The 21,035-nt window shown below is 39.3% G+C and overlaps 1 long non-coding RNA gene across 1 annotated transcript; it reads left to right on the plus strand.

The window, feature by feature from the left end:
* LOC124909387 (uncharacterized) lies at positions 38–18,260 on the plus strand. The gene is made up of 2 exons (XR_007095939.1): positions 38–73; positions 13,787–18,260. It is a non-coding gene; the product is annotated as an uncharacterized LOC124909387 (long non-coding RNA).
* The last annotated feature ends 2,775 nt before the right edge of the window (positions 18,261–21,035 follow it).

A 21,035-nucleotide genomic window follows, 5' to 3' on the forward strand; every position in this document is an offset into this window, starting at 1 on the left:
GCCAATTGAAAGCCATAGTGACAGTAACCCTGATTCAGGGGCGGGAAACACTGACCACAGAAGACAAGTTGAGGTGAGAATCCCCTTACAAGGGGGTTTGGGGCATAAATCGCACAATCTTTGGCTTTTTCTAACTAGAAAAAGAAACATGATTCTTTTCACGTGTAACGAAAGGCTGTACCGCACTTTTGCTTTTTTCTTTCCTCCCAAAACGCGTTTAACTATCCCTTCACGACTTCCCACTGGCTGGATTTCTTTTCGTTTCATTTCCCCACTCTGGATCTTTCTGGATTCCTTAAGCCTTCTTTTCTTTATGTGTCTCTCAGAAACACAGACTTGCAGTCCCTGGCTTGATCCATCAAATAATGTGGTCATTTACGACTACGCTCAGCCCTCCCTGGCATCCTAACAAAATTGCACCACATGCGCCCCTTCTCTTTTCCTTTCTGTCTTTTCTGTGCTGTTTTTCTCCTTAGCATTTGTCGTTACGAAGCATTGTATAAAATTTACGTATTTATCTTTTTTACCATCTTACTTTCTCACTAGAATGCAAGATCCCTGCAGATGTGGATTTTTGTTTTGGTCACTGTAGTCTTTCTAGCACCTAGAAAAGTGCCCAGCACATAGTAAATACACCGTATTTTCAATAATTGAACGAAATCTAGAGTGACCTTTCTCCCCTAGTCTCCCTTTCTCTGGTGCAGATCAACCCGTTTCTGACCACCATGGTTCCTTGTGCTTGTTCCCCTGTTTAATCCAAAATCATTATTGATGTATTCTGTGCCAAATGCCATGTGGGTGCTGGAGAAATCATTGATTCAGACCCAATTCCTAACCTCAAAATGCTCTGTCTAGTGACGTATGAAAAGTAAAATTAATTTTACAATAAATGCAATTACAAATTGCAGAACACCTACGTAATTTTCACAAGGTCATGCAGCTCCTAAGCAAGGACTAGATTCCTGGCTGCAGACTCTTGCCATTACATCGGGAAAAACAAAGAGCAGTTTTCTCTCAGACAAACACTAAGATAGGTCCCCATTTTCCTTAGCACCATTTCCTTTCTCTGTCTCTCACTTTTTTATTTGGCCTGATTCATTACATGCAGGCAATTACATCAAGTCTTAGATCTCTCATTATTTCTAATATTTGAATCCCATGGAGAGTAGCAAGGTGTCCTACAAAGTGTCCTGGTGTGAAAATCTGATGTCCTTGGAAGCTTGACTCTCAGAGAATGTCACATTGGATTATAGTTCATCACACAGACACCATGGCCACATAAAATATTATCAAATTGTGAATAACAAAGTGAAATTGAAAAAAAAAATATAGTTAAAACAGCAGGAATGTGAGCAATATATGTACAGACTGATTTTGTGCATAGAGATTAAAACACCTGTTCAGGCTTCCTAGCCTAATCTTCTGTCAATTTGGGGTCATTTCCTGTAATACAATTCTTTGTTGCTTTTATGAGCACAGACTTAGCTCAGCAGTCCCAGCTATTCTCAAGCTGATCGACATGAGAGATTTCAACACATGTGTCAGCAGCCAGACTAAACGTGGAAGAAAATCAGAAGCATTTGAAACTGTAAAGCTCAATAACTTTCCTCCTCCTGAGAAAGCATCAGCCTATAATCATTACATCTTCTACTTAGCAGTCAAAAGGCAAATGTCATGAACATACTCAGGGTCTAAACAGTGGTGTCTAATGATTATTGCACTGTTGTCAGATAGCCTAATATGAGCACATAGGTATTACTTCAGCTGTGGATAATGCTGACTGCTGGGCTCAAGGTCACCCACGACCTTGAGCAACAGATACATTCACAAAGAGCATGAAGACATAGAACTTGCATTGGATTCAGGACCTTCAAGTGCCAAGACAATCAGTGGGAGGTTACTGTCTGATCTGCAACTTGACTGAATTAATAACCACCTTAGTATGGGTTCTCCCAGAAGCAGATCTGGAGACAGGTATTCAAGAGCAAGTATTTTATTTAGGAGGTTATCGCAGGAAACACCAGTAAGAGACTAAGAAAGTGAAATAGGGAAGAGAAGACCAAAAAGATGCCTTATCTAGCACATTACCGCTAGAGGCACCCAGAACTTAATCCTCCTAGAAATCTCTGGGAAACAATATGGAACATGTACCTTAGACTGAGTGATTCCACCAAGAGGACAAGATAACTGGGTTGTTTAAACACCAACTACCGTCAGTCAATGATTGGGGGCAGCTTTCAGGGATTATTAAGACCCTGGCTTGTCTGCAATGCTCCAAGAGTAGACAGAGTTGCCTCAGTGGCCACAGAAAGCCAGAGATAGAAGAATTAAGAGTCACATTGGTATACGCTGAAATAGTAAGGGAATATAGCATACTGGCGGGGCACCAATAATATCTGCTACAGGTGGCTTTGGTTTACCACAAGCTCATGTCACTGAAACTAACAGAATAAGAATAAGTCAGAAACTAAGTAGATAAATACAAAAAGCCCAAGCAGCCTACCACCTTCTATCACTCATCAACAATTAAGATAGATTGTACTTTCTAAATCCTCACTAAGACATACAAACCAAACAATAGCAGAAGCCTCATTTACACTGGGGAATAGGAACTCTTTGGGCATTTAAGGAGGGTGCTTTGGGAGCTTTGGGGCATGGTAGTGCAAGGAGAAAGAAGATTAAGAAAAGGGGAAAAGGACATTTAAAGAAACGTGTTAAAAACATTGTGTTTTTCATTTTATGGTCTTGAAACATGAGTAAAGGGTGTGGATATTTTAAGAAGGTAGCATCAAGATCTGGGTGACTTTTAGACCCAGAAGACAATTTTGTGAAAGACTTCTGTGGATTGTGCCATTATAGTACTTCTTCATAGCAAATATCTTTACTTGAAATTATACCCACATTTATTTGTCCTTTTGTTTATCATCTGTCTCCTTCAAACAAAAGGTAAACTCCATGAAGGTAAGAACTTTGTTTTCAGGCCAGGCACGGTGGCTCATGCCTGTAATCCCAGCACTTTGGGAGGCCGAGGTGGGCAGATCACGAGGTCAGGAGTTTGAAACCAGCCTGGCCAACATGGTGAAAACCCATCTCTACCAAAAATACAAAAATTAGCCAGGCATGGTGGCTCACACCTGTAGTCCCAGCTACTTGGGAGGCTGAGGCAAGGAATCACTTGAGCCTGGGAGGCAGAGGCTGCAGTGAGCCAAGATTGTGCCACTGCACTCCAGCCCAAGTGACAGAGCGAGACTCCATCTCAAAAAAAAAAAAAAAACAAACTTTATTTTTGTGTTATTCATTAGTCAGCACTCAATAAATATGTGGTTAACAAATGACTATATTATGGCTACAAAAAGTAAACAGGGTAAGTACTAGAAGAGCCTGACATTTGTACCATTTGTATCATTCAACTAAATCATAAAGGTAAGAGGCACTGGTAACTACACCATAACCCCCCATTATCACGAAGCTTGGGGCCATCCTTGTGTGTAGAAAAACTGGAGGTCACATAATGTTCTCTGGCTTTAGTCAAACACTTCCAACAGCATCCTCTTCAAGCACACATGGCCTACAAGGAAATCTTTACCATGGAAACAGAATTTCAAAACTAAAAAGTCCGTAGAGGTCAAAGAGTTCAACCCTCTGCATAATTCATCTTAGCCATATGTTACAGGTCATAATTCAGACCTTCAGACAAGAATCTTTATTTATTTGTAATTTATTACAAATTTATTTGAAAAAATAATATCTAATACAAAAATATTATATTAGAAAAAAGGAGAAACAATGCATTATTTTTGTAATACAAAGTATAGAAAGTTTGGGAAACTCAGTCGTACCCAAATGCTCTAGTCTGCTTCACACATTTCTTAACCTGTGATCATTAAGCTTTTTGGCTACCATTGGAGAATTCTGGTTGCCAGTAAGAGCCATCTTATGATGTGCTGAAAATTTTCTAAATTTTTCACCTATGTTTTTTTTTTCTGTCATCTTATTTCTCCCTTTGTTGTTCTGTGTTAAATGTATTCCTTGGGTAGATTTGTTCATCAGATATTTAGAGATCTGTCTATTCCCTATAGCTTGTGAACATATGCATGCTGTCTGCTTTTAACTGTGCCTCATAAATAATCACACTTAATCCTTCTTAGTGCCATCTTTTGCAATCATCTTCCAGTTACCTAGAACATAAGGTGCATAAAACTAAGCTCAGTGTCCAAGCTGTGATCTCAGTAGGGTGGCTCAGAATTAAGCGATGATTTTTCATCACTCTCTTTCAAGAAATTATGGCTCTAAACTTATTGCCCTGGTTTCACTGCAGCTTTAAAGACATTTCATCATTCTAGAAGATAAGACCCATTAAAAGCATTTTCTAAAAACTAAAAAATATAGTAGAGGAGAGTGCAGTTTCAATTCAGTTCCGTGTTTTATATATTGAGGGTTACTCTGCGAGCCATTGTGTTAGAGGCTGTAATTCACAAGTGAATAAGACACAGTCTCTGGAGTGGTACGGTAGTGAATACTGTAAGCATGTAAACAGATGAGCAAATCAATGTGATTCCCCATATGAGCCAATGCCAATGCCAGAATGAGTGGATTCTGCCACCTATAGTGAAGGAGAGACAGGGGTTCTGGGCAGAGGCAACAGTACATGGCAAGCACCAGAGTTCAGGCAGGTAAACGAATCAGTCTACAACCTAAATTGGAAGTAGGATAGCAGTGAAAGAAACCAGAAGAGTCTCAAGAACCAGCTCATGAGGGTTTCCTAGGTAACTCCCTAGTTTGCTGTAAAAGTAATTGAAAGCCTTGTAACTATAAAATAAATAGCTTAATTTGGAGGCAAAATGGGGAAAATCATTCAACAAATATTTATTGAGCATTTACTATATGCCAGGGATGCAATGGTGAGTAAATCATTGAAAAAAAAAAAATCCCTACCCTTGTGGGACCTCTAGAAGAGTAGACAAGCCATACTCTAATATACAAATGTATAGTCTATCATAGGTGTTGATAAATGCTAGCGGTAAAAAAGCAGAGTGAAAGGCTAGAAAGTGATAGGTGGTCTTCTTTTACATAGGGGGTCAGGGAAGGCCTCTTTGAAGAGATGTCATCTGAACAAAGATCTCAGTGAAGTGGGGTGGGAGGCAGCCATGAGGAAATCTATGCAAGAAAGTTCCAAACAGGCGGTACAGTAAGTGCAAAGTCCTTAAGACACAAGTCCTTAAGATACAAACAAGTCCTTAAGATACACCATGCTGGCGTGGTAGAAGAATAGCCAGAAAGCCATGTGGCTGGAGAAGAGTGAACGAGAAGAAAAGTAATGGAAAGGAGGTCAAAGGCAATCAGAGGCCGGATCATGAAGGGTTTGGTAGGCCATGGTAAGATCTCCAGGACAAATGTTAAACTGGTCCATAAATGTAGCCATCAGACAGTATATACAGTATGACCCATTCGTGTGAACATAAAAAGATTGTGTGTTACACACACACATAATTATTGAGGCTCATAATCACTTTGAGGACAGATGTGTTTTAGAAATTAATAATTTGTTGTTTTTTAGAAAGGTATATGTCTATACCATTTGGTATATAACACGTCTAGAGAAGTCTTATGACAGCACCCTGTCATCAAACATATTGATATGTCTGCAACAAAACATATATGGGATAAGCAAACACTAAATATAGTCTTACACCAGGTTAATCTTTTGGTTTTCAAGCTTTTTGGATTTCAAAATTTCAGATCCAGAATTGTGAATCTCTATTTGTACATGTGTGGAAAACTTCCAGGAGTGTCCCATTGTTCATTGTTGTGAACAAAGGTTGGAGGAGTGAGATGGCTTTGGTGGCTGAAGTATCTTTTATTCTACTTTTTATCATGCCGAATACACTTCTTTACCATGTATTATTTATGTCATTGAAATAACACAAGTTTAAAAATATTTTTTAATGTAGATATCAGTGTTTTTATTCATGTAGTCTTTGGGTATTAACAATATGAATGGAAATCAGGGAAAATATTTTAAACAAAAAAAGTAATAGAGAAGATTTTGAATATTCATTATATAATTGCTTCTATATTTGAGTTCTTAGTAATGAAATATTCAACTTTTACTGTGTCTCTGTATGCTTTTCAAATTTTTGTCTTGTAAATACTTTTGTGGACTATAGGGTCATAGTATAAAGATAATTTTGTAAGGAGTAGGAAATTCATATCTAAAATTCAGTAAAATATATTTTTAAATTTTATGGTAAATCATATTTCCTAATGTTCCAAGAAGTTTCTTCGGTTTCCTTATAGAACATGGTCCATTCTCAGGACCTGCGGTGTACTGTTTTGTTTTGTTTTCAAGGCAAATCTGTGGGGTTTTATTTCCATGTTTTGATAACAGAATGTCATGCTTGTGATAAATACTTGCCTGAAAGATATTTATAATGTACAAGCCCTAAAATATTTAGACATTTTTTAATTGCAATTTTCAACCTCCCTATTTCCTACCACTCTCCCCCAACAAAAATTCAGAGAGATGTATTTAACAGACACCACATTTCATGGTGAATGTTATTGGCTGTGTGGCTGAAAACTGTAATTAGCCATGCCTCACTGATTCATACATGAATCGTTTTGAGGTTTATTATTCCACTGGAATGTTAATGAACATGAATACAAAAATACTCTTGAGAGATTTTCTTTTTATCTTGGTAAAGTACATATGGTACGGGGAAAAAAAACCTTGAAAATAATTAGTGAAAAAATACTTAGTGTATATAACTAGACCCTTGATTTTTTTTTTTTAATTATTATACTTTAAGTTCGGGGATACATGTGCAGAACATGCAGGTTTGTTACATAGGTATACACGTGCCATGGTGGTTTGCTGCACCCATCAGCCCATCATCAACATTAGGTAGTTCTCCTAATGCTATCCCTCCCCAGACCCCAACCCCTGACAGGCCCCTGTGTGTGATGTTCCTCTCCCTGTGTGCATGTGTTCTGATTGTTCAACTCCCACTTATGAGTGAGAACATGCGGTGTTTGGTTCTGTTCCTGTGTTAGTTTGCTGAGAATGATGGTTTCTGGAAACCATCCATGTCCCTCCAAAGGACATGAACTCATCCTTCTTTATGGCTGCAAAGTATTCCATAGTGTATATATGCCACATTTCCGTTATCCAGTCTATCATTGATGGGTGTTTGGGTTGGTTCCAAGTCTTTGCTATTGTGAACAGAGCTGCAATAAACATGTATGCATGTGACTTAATAATAGAATGATTTATAATCCTTTGGGTATATACCCAGGATTTGCCCATGCCTATGTCCTGAATGGTATTACCTAGGTTTTCTTCTAGGGTTTTTATGGTTTTATGTCTTTTGTATAAGATGTAAGGAAGTGGCCAGTTTATGTTTTCTGCATATGGCTAGCATATGCAGAAATGGTGCTTTCCCAACACCATTTATTAAATAGGGAATCCTTTCCCCATTGATTGTTTTTGTCAGGTTTGTCAAAGATCAAATGGTTGTAGATGTGTGGCATTATTTCTGAGGCCTGTGTTCTGTTCCATTGGTCTATATATCTGTTTTGGTACCAGTACCATGCTGTTTTTGGTTACTGCAGCCATCTAGTCTAGTTTGAAGTCAGGTAGCCTAATGCCTCCAGCTTTGTTCTTTTTAAATAGGATTGTCTTGGCTATTGCTTCTCAGTCTTTTGGCTAAGATCAAATGTAGTATTGTCTTGGCTATACAAGCTCTTTTTTGGTTCCATATGAACTTTAAAGTAGTTTTTTCTAATTCTGTGAAGAAAGTCAATGGTAGCTTGATGGGGATAGCATTGAATCTATAAATTACCTTGGGCATTATGGCCATTTTCATGATATTGATTCTTCCTATCCACGAGCATGGAATGTTTTTCCATTTGTTTGGGTCCTCTCTTATTCCCTTGAGCAGTGGTTTGTAGTTCTCCTTGAAGAGGTCCTTCACAACCCTTGTAAGTTGTATTCCCAGGTATTTTATTCTGTCTGTAGCAATTGTGAATGGGAGTTCACACATGATTTGGCTCTCTGTTTGTCCATTATTAGTGTATAGGAAAGCTTGTGATTTTTGCACATTGATTTTGTATCCTGAGAATTTGCTGAAGTTGCTTATCAACTTAAGGAGATTTTGGGCTGAGACAATGGGGTTTTCTAAATATACAATCATGTCATCTGCAAACAGAGACAATTGGACTTCCTGTCTTCCTATTTGAATATCCTTTATTTCTATCTCTTGCCTGATTGCCCTGGCCAGAACTTCCAATACTATGTGGAATAGGAGTGGTGAGAGAGGGCATCCTTGTCTTGTGCCGGTTTTCCAAGGGAATGCTTCCAGCTTTTGCCCATTCAGTATGATATTGGCTGTGGGTTTGTCATAAATAGCTCTTATTATTTTGAGATACATTCCGTCAACACCGAGTTTATTAAGAGTAAAATTTTTAGCATGAAGCGGTGTTGAATTTTATCGAAGGCCTTTTCTGCATCTATTGAGATAATCGTGGTTTTTGACATTGGTTCTGTTTCTGTGAGGGATTACGTTTATTGATTTGCGTATGTTGAATCAGCCTTGCATCCCAGGGATGAAGCTGACTTCATCGTGGTGGATAAGCTCTTTGATGTGCTGCTGGATTCGGTTTGCCAGTATTTTATTGAGGATTTTCTTATCAATGTTCATCAGGGATATTGGCCTGAAATTTTCTTTTTTTGTTGTTGTGTCTTTGCCAGGTTTTGGTATCAGAATGATGCTGGTCTCATAAAATGAGTTAGGGAGGAGTCCCTCTTTTTGTATTTATTGTTTGGAATAATTTCAGAAGGAATGGTACCAGCTCTTCTTTGTACCTCTGGTAGAATTCGGCTGTGAATCTGTCTGGTCCTGGACTTTTTTTGGTTGGTAGGCTATTAATTACTGCCTCAATTTCAGAACTTGTTATTGGTCTATTCAGGGATTTGACTTCTTCCTGGTTTAGTCTTGGGAGGGTGTATGTGTCCAGGAATTTATCCATTTCTTCTAGATTATCCAGTTTATTTGCGTAGAGGTATTTGTGGTATTCTCTGATGGTAGTTTGTATTTCTGTGGGATCAGTGGTGATATCCCCTTTATCATTTTTTATTGTGTCTATTTGATTCTTCTCTCTTTTCTTCTTTATTAGTCTAGCTAGCAGTCTATCTATTTTGTTAATCTATTCAAAAAACCAGCTCCTGGATTCATTGATTTTTTGAAGGGTTTTCTGTGTGTCTATCTCCTTCATTTCTGCTCTGACCTTAGTTCTTTCTTGTTTTCCGCTAGCTTTTGAATTTGTTTGTTCTTGCTTCTCTAGTTCTTTTAATCGTGATGTTAGAGTGTCAATTTTCGATCTTTCCTGCTTTCTTTTGTGGGCATTTAGTGCTATAAATTTCCCTCTAAATACTGCTTTAACTGTGTCCCAGAGATTCTGGTACGTTGTGTCTTGGTTCTCATTGGTTTCAAAGAACTTGTTTATTTCTGCCTTAATTTCATTATTTACCCAGTAGTCATTCAGGAGCAGGTTGTTCAGTTTCCAAGTAGTTGTGCAGTTTTGAGTGAGTTTCTTAATCCTGCATTCTAATTTGATTGCACTGTAGTCTGAGAGACTGTTTGTTATGATTTCCGTTCTTTTGCACTTGCTGAGGAGTGCTTTACTTCCAATTTTGTGGTCAATTTTAGAATAAGTGTGATGTGGTGCTGAGAAGAATGTATATTCTGTTGATTTGGGGTGGAGAGTTATGTAGATCCATATTAGGTCTGCTTTGTCCAAGCTGAGTTCAAGTCCTGAATATCCTTGTTAATTTTCTGTCTCGTTGATTTGTCTAATATTGACAGTGGGGTATTAAAGTCTCCCACTATTATTGTGTGGGAGTCTAAGTCTCTTTGTAGGTCTCTAAGAACTTGCTTTATGAATCTGGTTCCTCCTGTATTTGGTGCATGTATATTTAGGATAGTTAGCTCTTCTTGTTGTGTTGATCCCTTTACCATTATGTAATGCCCTTCTTTGTCTTTTTTGATCTTTGTTGGTTTAAAGTCTGTTTTATCAGAGACTAGGATTGCAACCCCTGCTTTTTTGTGTGTGTGTGCTTTCCATTTGCTTGGTAAATATTACTCCGTCCCTTTATTGTGAGCCTATATGTGTCTTTGCACGTGAGATGGGTCTCCTGAATACAGCACACCAATGGGTCTTGACCCTATGCAATTTGCCAGTCTGTGTCTTTTAACTGGAGCATTTAGCCCATTTACATTTAAGGTTAATATTGTTATGTATTAATTTGATCCTGTCATTACGATGCTAGCTGGTTATTTTGCCCATTAGTTGATGTGGTTTCTTCATAGTGTCAATGGTCTTTACAATTTGTTATGTTTTTGCAATGGCTGATATCAGTTTTTCCTTTCCATATTTAGTGCTTCCTTCAGGAGCTCTTGTAAGGCAGGCCTGGTAGTGACAGAATCTCTCAGCATTTGCTTGTCTGTAAAGGATTTTTTTTTCTCCTTCGCTCATGAAGCATTGTTTGGCTGGATATTAAATTCTGGGTTGAAAATTATTTTAAGAATGTTGAATATTGGCCCCCACTCTCTTCTGGCTTGTAGGGTTTCTGGAGAGACATCCACTGTTAGTCCCTTTGTAGGTAACCCGACCTTTCTCTCTGGCTGCCCTTAACATTTTTTCCTTCATTTCAACCTTGATGAATCTGATGATTATGTGTCTTGGGGTTGCTCTTCTGGAGAAGTATCTTTGTGTTGTTCTCTGTATTTCCTGAATTTGAATGTTGGCCTCTCTTGCTAGGTTGGGGAAGTTCTCCTGGATAATATCCTGAAGAGTGTTTTCCAACTTGGTTCCATTCTCCCTGTCACTTTCAGGTACTCCAATCAAATGTAGGTTTGGTCTTTTCACATAGTCCCATATTTCTTGGGGGCTTTGTTCATTTCTTTTCATTCTTTTTTCTCTAATCTTGTCTTCACACTTTATTTCATTAATTTGATCTTCAGTCTCTGATATCCTTTTTTCCACTTGATTGATCCAGCTATTGATACTTGTGTATGCTTTACAAAATTTTTGTGCTGTGTTTTTCAGCTCCCTCAGGTCATTTATGTTCTTCTCTAAACTGGTTATTCTAGTTAGCGATTCCTCTAACCTTTTGTCAAGGTTCTTAGCTTCCTTGCACTGGGTTAGAACATGCTCCTTTAGCTCAGAGTAGTTTGTTATTACCCACCTTGTTATTTCCCACCTTCTGAAGCCTACTTCTTTCAATTTGTCAAACTCATTCTCTTTCCAGTTGTGTTCCCTTGCTAGCGAGGAGTTGTGATCCTTTGGAGGAGAAGAGTCATTCCAGTTTTTGGAATTTTCAGCCTTTTTGCACTAGTTTTCTCTCATCTTCATGGATTTTTCTACCTTTGGTGTTTGATGTTGGTGACCTTTGGATGGGGTTTCTGTGTGGACGTCCTTTTTGTTGATATTGATGCTATTCCTTTCTGTTCACTCGTTTTCCTTCTAACAGTCAGCCCCCTCTGCTGCCAATCTGCTGGAGTTTGCTGGAGGTCCATTCCAGACCCTCTTTGCCTGGGTATCACCAGTGGAGGCTGCAGAACAGCAAAAATTGCTGCCTGTTCCTTCCTCTGGAAGCTTCATCCCAAAGTGGCACCCGCCAGATGCCAGCTGAAGCTCTCCTGTATGAGGTGTCTGTCGACCCCTGCTGGGAGTTGTCTCCCAGTCAGGAGGCATGGGGGTCAGGGACCCACTTGAGGAGGCAGTCTGTCCCTTAGCAGAGCTCCAGCGCTGTGCTGGGAGATCCGCTGCTCTCTTCAGGGTCAGCAGGCAGGAATGTTTAAGTCTGCTGAAGCTGCACTCACAGCCACGCCTTCCCCCAGGTGCTCTGTCCCAGGGTGATGGGAGTTTTATCTATAAGCCCCTGACTGAAGCTGCTGCCTTTCTTTCAGAGATGCCCTACCCAGAGTGGAGGAATCTAAAGAGGCAGGTGTGCTCTACCCAGTTCAAACTTTCCCAAGGCTTTGTTTACACTGTGAGGGGAAAACCACCCACTCAAGCCTCAGTAATGGCGGACACCCCTCCCCCCACCAAGCTTAAGCGTCCCAGGCCGACTTGAGACTGCTGTGCTGGCAGTGAGAATTTCAAGCCAGTGGATCTTAGCTTGCTGGGCTCCATGAGGGTGGGATCCACTGAGCTAGACCACTTGGCTCCCTGGCTTCATCCCCCTTTCCAGGGGAGTGAATGGTTCTGTCTCGCTGGTGTTCTAGGCACCACTGGGGTATGAAAAAAATAAAAAAACTCCTGCAGCTAGCTCAGTGTCTGCCCAAATGGCTGCCCAGTTATGTGCTTGAAACCCAGGGCCCTGCTGGCACAGGCACCCGAGGGAATCTCCTGGTCTGCAGGTTGCAAAGACCATGGGAAAAGCATAGTATCTGGGCCAGAGTGCACTATTCCTCAAGGCACATTCCCTCACAGCTTCCCTTGACTAGGGGAGGGAATTCCCCAACCCCTTGCACTTCCCGGGTGAGGAGACGCCCCACCCTGCTTCATCTCACCCTCCGTGGGGTGCATCCACTGTGTAACCAGTCCCAATGAGATGGGTACCTCAGTTGGAAATGCAGAAATTACCTGCCTTTTTCCTTGATCTTGCTGGGAGCTGCACACCAGAGCTGTTCCTATTCTGCCAAATTGCCCGCCTCCCTAATTTTTTTGAATAGTAAATAAGACTGTATAATTTACTGGAGTCTCTTCTCTACGAAGCGCACAGTGATTTTACAAACATTAATTAATAAAGCTTCAGGATCCCTACCAGGTAAATGTTAATAAAACCCAGGAGTCCTAACTTTTTTGACCTTTGCCTCAATTTTCAGATAAGAAACTAGCTGACTAAGATGCTTCCACAGCTTTGAAAACAAAATGGGCATGAAACCAACATTCAGAGTTCAGATGTCACTTATGAGTAGCATTCTCTTATGAACCTAGTTGGAGATAGAAGTAATTTAGGGAAAATGATATTTCAGCACTGCCTTAATCTAGCAGGGATTTTCTTCATGGGAAAATTAAACCAAACACAAACTGAAGTATGACTTAACTGGGCCTGCTTCTGCATTTAGGGTCACCAAAGCATACTGTAAATGGAAATCAGATTGCTTTAGAATCCAAGAACAAACTCTACTTTTGACCTTTAGGAAGCTCATGATGTATATGCCCACCAAATAAACAAAATAATTTCAAAGTAAATTCGTTGAGTGCACCTGACCTTTGAAACAGAGCAGATGATGTTAATCAGATTTGTACAGCGTTAATCTAGCTCAGCCTCTGTCTCTCCATGTATTTTTAAAATATCATAAGGAAGAGTCTCACAACAGGGAATCTTTCAAATCGGAATAGATTTAGAAATGGAACAGAATGTATGACCTGGCTTCAAACAATGAAGTATATAACTCAAACATGTAAGCAAATGAATTTTATGACTATAAACCAACATACCACACCCCTCAGGAAAAGCAACTTTTAAAAAATAATATAAGCCTGTGTTATTTTCTCAATAAAATATAGTTCAAGTTCTGATACTGTGTTAGTTACCATTAGGTAAACTTTGAGTTGAAAATGGCCTACATATCATAAAAAGGTGTTCTGTCTGACCATTGCATCTGACTTTTGTCAAGCCATATCATTTCTGCATTTTGGACATTGAATGTTTGAGCCATGGCCTTTCCAGAATAGCCTGTTAAGTAACTTGATGGACATATGCTTCTTTTCCCAGGATCACTTCCTTTGGATAACCAGCCCTGACCCCATTCCATAGTAATCTCTGTCAATCTTGGTGGCTCTGACCACACATTTGTTCTGGCTTAAATTGGGGAGGACTATGGGGTGTGGAGGACGGTAATGGAGCAGGAGTAGTCACAGAAAACAAACTTGACCAAAGCACTCCATACTACTTGGCCACTGGTTGGTTGGGGATGGGCACATGACCCAAGCTGAGCCAGTATCCTCAGATGTTTTGTCAGAGAGATTTTTTAAAAAGCCCCTCTTTCTCTGTGATCACAAGCCATAATGATGATACAAGTGTGGGGCTGCAGGCTATTTTGCCCACCCAGGAATTAAGTCAAAAGGGCAAGCAGAGAGGAGAAATGAGGAGAGGAACAGAGCCCAGCTGGCATTGCATCCCAGAATCCAATTTTGCCTGAAGCTACCTCTTAGATTTGCCAGTTACATGAGCCTTTTCTTGTTTAAGTTGGTTTGAATTAGGTTTTTGCTACTGGCAGCCAAAGGAGTCCTGACTAATCCACAAAGTTCAACTGACAGATAAGCTACTCAGAATGCGACGGTGAAATGAAAGGGATAATACTCTCCCATTCTCTTGTAATTTGGAAATTCTCCGGACCTAAAGCCAGATCAGCCTCTGCTCTACCAGCACCAAAACTGTGCACGAGGCACACTGTAGTCATCTAAGGAACTGGAGATGTTAGCCTGAGAACGAGAAGACAAGATGTGCTTGCTGGGCTCAAACGTGTGAAGGTCTACTTTGTGAGAAAGGGATTGGATTCACTCTTTGGAGTTAAAAGTCAGACCAACAAGTCCTTATCACTGAGGGGAATTTTCTGTACAACATGAAGGATAACTTTTCTAACAATGAAAGCCATCCTAGCTGACATAATGTGACCCTCAAACACTTCCTTTATTGAGTGAGAGGCTGGACAAAATGACATCTAAGATCCCACCCAACTCTGTGATTACTTGATTCAATCAAAGTTTGGTCATGGTGACCGTATCTGTACAGTCATGCATTGATTAAAAATGGGGATATATCCTGAGAAATGTGTCCTTATGTGATTCCATCATTGTGCAAACATCATAGAGTGCACTTACATAAATCTAGATGGCAATGCCTTCTGCACACCTAGGTTTTGTGGTATAGTCTAATGCTTCTAGGCTGTAAACCTGTACAGCAGATGACTGTCCTGAATACTGTAGGCAACTGTAACACCATAGTAGGTATTTGTGTATCTAAACATATCTAAATATAGAAAAGGTATGGTAGAACTACAGTACTAAATAAGCTTATAGGACCACTCAGATATGTGGTCTGTTGCTGACAAAGTGTCATTATGCAGTGCATGACTGTAATTTATTATAGTCACCTCAACCATTCAGCAAATCAAAAATCAATATAAATCAATCATATATAAGGAGGCCCAGAGGAAATTAAGTGTCGGAAGAGATTTCCTAGAGGGGATGATAACTTGCACAGTTTTAAATACAAATAGGACTTAGTTTCTATCACACATACCATGTTGAACAATGCTCTATTCAGCACTGATTCTTCAAGAAGCTATTTATCTCTACCATAGTTTCTTTAAAAATATGCAAATACATATGTAATAATGATCTATTTCAGTGTATTATAAATTAAAATTTTCCAAATTCTTGAGTGTTTTGTAGGCATATAGCTAATAAACATTAACAGTTTGGTGTAGTGTACCTGTAACCAGCCCTGTATACCTGTATACCAGCTGCTCTCAGCCAATGAATGGGAGTCCCCTATTACTGCATTCTACCATTCACTACACTCTGAGTTGAGAGTGTTCTACAATACATGTTTTTGCTTATCTTTCTGCCATTATTTTGTGTACTGGCAATTTATTTTGTGTCCTCAAAAGCAGTTTTGACATGAAATGCTTAACCACAGTTATGAAAATGATACATCCATACTAGATCTACCCATAGCAAAGTGACAGCACTACATTAGACATCAAAATGCAAGTCCTATAGAGGTTCAGGGTGCCTTCAGGAAATGTTTGAGAAGACAGAATCAGGTAAATAGGGACTGAAAGATAATTTTTGGCATTATGAAGAGCAGCATAAATACCACTGCAGGCAGGGAAAATAAACAAAAATTGTTAGAAAGCTGTTTGGAAGAAATGACTATAAGAAGACACATCATGATGTAAGGAGTTTGGAAGAAGACAGTTGTGTGGTTGCCATGTGAAGGACTGGAACACTTCTCCATGGGGACAGTGATAGGAAGACCCAGTATAATGCTGATCACAGCAGCACCCCCATTTCCAGGAATGGAGCACTTCATCCATCTCCTGCCTTCTCTCTCAACAGACTTTGTGAGTGCTCAAACCAAGTGGGGAAAGACAGTCAAGAGAGAGGGAACAGCATGTGAAAAGAAAAATTGTAAAACATGGCAGTTTAGAAACTGTAAGTGGTTTAACATTACTGGAGGAGAGAATACAGGAGAGAGGTTAACAACGAGACTGGAACTGTAGACAAAAGCCATGTTATGAAAGAGCTGATGAAACCTTCTCTAGACCTAGGACTTAATGTGACAAGCAGTGGGGAGCAAATAATTGGCTTTAACAGGGCAAGCAATGTGATCAAGTTCGAATTTTAGAGAAAAATCTGGAAGCACTATGGAGGCTTGACTGGAGTGGGATATGACTCCAGAAAGATCAGTGAGGAGGTCATTGTTAGCAATCAGACACATTTTTTTTTGGCCTATTAAATTACCATTTTTTTAAAAAAAGAAAAAGAATATCCTGGTGGTAAGCTATAAATTGGTAAATTTGTAAAAAGCTACTTGCAATAATGTAAGTCAAGTAAGAAATTTAGAAATAATACTGAAAAAGTTTACGCCCTTTGATCCAGTAATTCTATGTGTAGGAATCTACAGTAAAAGTACAGAGATGCAGACAAAAGTGTATGTTCAGTGATGTTCCTTCTTTCAGTCTTATTTCTGAAAAACTAGAAACCACTTTCATGTCCAATCAAAAAAGCAACAAATAAATGAAATATGTCACTGCTATTTAAAATTTTTTTTTAAATATTCACTGACATGGAAAATTGCCCAAGGATTAATGTTAATTGAAAAAGCAGAATACAAAATTAAATATATGGTAAAACTGCCTTCTTCAGAAAGGTGTATGCATTTAAAAACTGGAAAATACAAAAATATATATATATATAATCAGAGCTTATCTCTAGGTGGTGAAATTGAGTGATTTTGATTTTCATCTTTTTAAGCTTTTTTTATTTTTTCATTCACTGTCATGAACATGTACTACTTTTGCAGACAACTGTTAGGTTGAACCATTTGAAATTGCCTGCTGCAGACTGAATTGTGTTCCCACCTTCTCCCCAAAATGTGTATGTTGAAACCGTAACTCCCAGTGTGATGGTATTTAAAGATGAGACCTTGGGAAATAAGTAGGTGTAGATGAGGTCATGAGGGTGGAGCATTCATGATGGGATTAGTGTTCTTATAAAAAGAGGAAGAGGTCATGTGAGCACACAGGGAGATAGCAGCCATCTACACACGGGGAAGAGAGCCCTCACCAGAACTTGACCATGCTGATGCCCTGATCTTGGACTTCCAGTCTCCAGAGCCTTGAGAAAATAAATCTCTGTTGTTTAAGCCAGTCTATGATATTTTGTTATGGCAGCCCAAGCTGACTAATACACTGCCAAAATTGACTTCAAAAATGACAATTCCATATGAATCAGCCTACATAAAAGTGAAATAAAATAAAAAGCAACAGTCATTGAAAATGCCCTGACAATAGATGCTAAGAGCCAGAACCAAAGCAACAGTAATAAGATAAGAATAACAAAGATGCAAATGACATTAAGTTGGTAGATTCTGTAACTTGGTGATGGATAGGATTGATAAAACAGTACTGGTGAATAAGGAACAGCATCTAAAACATGAATCCAAAGTTTTTACACTAAGAAATCGAGGGATGGTAGAGGTACTAGTCAAGACAAGGGATAATCAGAAAAATCTGTTTGGTAGCTAGCCTCTGAGATGGCCTCAATAATCCCCACCTCCTGGCATTCGCAGCCTTGAATACTCCCCTTCCTGGTCTACAGGTGGTCAGTATTCTGCCTCATTTATAATACTGCCGAAGTTATGTCTCACTGCTACAGAGATGAACATTCACCCTGGGAAAAAAGCCAACTGCTGTGTTCGGACACTTAAAGCCTATGGACAGGCCTATGTGTTGAGGAACTGAGATATCCAGCCAACAGCCAGCAAGGAACTGAGGTCTGACAACAACCTCATGAGAGAGATTGGAAGCAGATCCTGCAGCCCCAGTCAAGCCTTTCAGTTGCTGACACCTTGACAGCAACCTCATGAGAGACGCTGAGCCACGTGATGAGGCTAAGCTGCGCCCAGACTTCTGTCTCATAACAGCTATGAGATAATAAATGTTTGTTTTAAGCCACTATTTCGGGAGGTAATTTGTTACAGATAATTAGATAACTTCACTTGTCTCTCGGTAACCATGGGAGATTGGTTCCGGGACCCCCTGCAGATACCAAACTCCATGAATACTCAAGACTCTTATATAAAATGGTGTAGTATTTGCATATAACCTACACACATCCTTCTGTATACTTTAAATCACTTCTAGATTACTTATAATACCTAATGCAATGCCTATGCATCACTTCATTCACATGGATTCAGCACAGTATTTGGCACAGAGCAAATTCAAGGTTTGTTTTCTGGAACTTGGTGGAATTTTTTTTTTTTTTTTTTTTTTTTTGATACAAGGTCTCACCCCATTGCCCAGGCTGGAGTGCAGTTGCACAATCATGGCTCATTGCAGCCTCGACCTCCCAGGTCCAAGTGACCCTCCTGCCTCAGCCTCCTGAGTAGCTAGGACCACAGCATGTGCTACCATGCCCAGCTAAGTTTTTAATTTTTTGTAGAGAGAAGGTCTCACTATGTTGCCCAGGCTGGTCCTGAACTGGGCTCAATCAATCCACCCACCTCGGCTTTCCAAAGTGTTGGGATTACAGGCATGAGACACCGCGCCCAGCCTTTTTTTTCCAAATATTTTGTATCTGTAGTTGGTTGAATCTATGGATGCAGAACCCACAGACATGGAGGACCAACTGCAATACAACCGGTTTTGATTAATTTGCTTATCTGAAGAGTTGAATATTCCTGAAGGCAGAAATCATGTCTTAATATTTAAGGCCTCTTGCTGTATGTGGCACATGATCTATATTCAATGAATATGTATTACAGTCTGGAAAGGTAGAAAAGGAGACTGTAAACCCTAGCAAAGTAGTTTGGACACTTTCTGGTGGGGACCCACTAATGGCTCATAAGGTTGTTCAGGATAAAGATTTGTTTGAAAAGAAATGTGGTGAATGATTTTTGTACTTGACACTTCTTCAAGGACTTGTATTGCTTGTAAATGTACTTTAATAATCTTATATGCTTTAGAAGCCCATATATCCCAAAATACTCCAAATTGTAGAGTTCTAAACCTGCAACTTATTTTCTTTTATAAAACAAACTTTGGAAAAGTGTGGTCTTTAACTTTTTTTTTTTTTTCCGGACAAATTCTCACTTTGTCGCCCAGGCTAGAGTGCAGTGGCACAATCTTGGCTCACTGCAACCTCTGCCTCCCGGGTTGAAGCGATTCTCTTGCCTCAGCCTCCCGAGTAGCTAGGATTACAGGTGCCCACCACCACACCCAGCTAATTTTTGTATTTTTAGTAGAGATGGGGTTTCACCATGTTGGCCAGGCTGGTCTCAAACTCCTGACCTCAGGAGATCCACCCACCTTGGCCTCCCAAAGTGCTGGGATTATAGTCTTCAACATTTTTAACTACAGAAAGGTTTAGCAAGATTTTTGTTTCTAAATTCATTTTCATATCTTAGATAATTTGTAGCTAGCAATTTTGTACCAGCTTTCCTTTTTATTTTGGACTATTGCTGACCCAGATTTAAAGCCTAGAGTTGACGAAATTTAAACTTTTACAGTACATTTTATCAATTATATAATGCAATAGTCAATCCAAGAAAATTCTGTCTTCTGAGCTTCATCCATAACTGTTCTTTATTGTTCTATAAACAACTGATTGATGCCATTAATGCTTGGACACATGTTAGAACCGAGGAGAAGTAGAACATGTAATAAAAAAGCATCAGTCCACTTAAACTTGAGTGTACTGATAATGATGCCTGGTCTCTATGATGTAGTTTGTTGCTGAAATACTCCCATAAATACATACACGCACACACACCACTTCAGGTTTCACAAAAGCAACTCATAGCCTTTATATCCTAATGGACTCAATGAAAATTAGAGGGAATTCATGAGACTCTGGAAACAGTGTATACCTGGTGAGAATGAAATCAGAAAAGTCTGGGGTGCTCTTCAGAGTTCTTACTAAAAGCAATAAAGGAAAATCTTGCATTTTTGCCAAATGTAAGCAAAGTTCACATGAAACATTTATGTCTTCAGATAGAACCACAAAAGCTCAAGAAGAGGCAGGAAGGCTAAGGAGCTAATCCATTGCACATCTGAGAAGAGATTGGACCTTGCAACTCTTTCTCATTTGCTGTAGAGTCTAGTTTCCTTGATATGCCCTCAGCCACCCAACTCTCATAACTCTTGCTTCAGATTCTCCTAATTAGATACAGCAAATAAGAGTTTCCCTCCCAGAAGGTGAGTGGTTTTTCCTTACTTTATATCATTTCATAATTCACTTTGATACTCTTCAGACTGCTTCTGTGTAATTTGCAACTTTCAAACATTGGAAGCTAGTTAGCTTTGCCATGTAGATTTCATTTAACTAAATCATATTCAGATCGTTTTACCTCCTTTAAAAAGAAGCAGCAAGAAAATCTTTGATGTTATATCTTAACTGTAATTAAGATATCATCTCCAATATTTTACTGTAGAAAATGCAATAAATAAAATATGAATTTATGCAACACAGTTATTCACACTGAAAAGCAATTAACAGGCTATTCCTCATCTTTCTGTTGCAGTTACATAGAAGGACTCCTTGCTGTGTGACCTTTAGAAAAACATTGAACTTTTCTGTGCCTTGTTTTCCTAATCTACAATAGGATAATAGTTCCTACCTTTAGGATTAACTGGGATTAGTTTAAGATTAACTGAGATTATCTGACTCTCTCATGAAAACATAGGTGACATTATTTTGTAATATTTCCCAGGCATGAATAGAATCATTTT

Source organism: Homo sapiens, chromosome 3 (assembly GCF_000001405.40).
Source record: "Homo sapiens chromosome 3, GRCh38.p14 Primary Assembly".
Classification (NCBI taxonomy): Eukaryota; Metazoa; Chordata; class Mammalia; order Primates; family Hominidae; genus Homo; species Homo sapiens.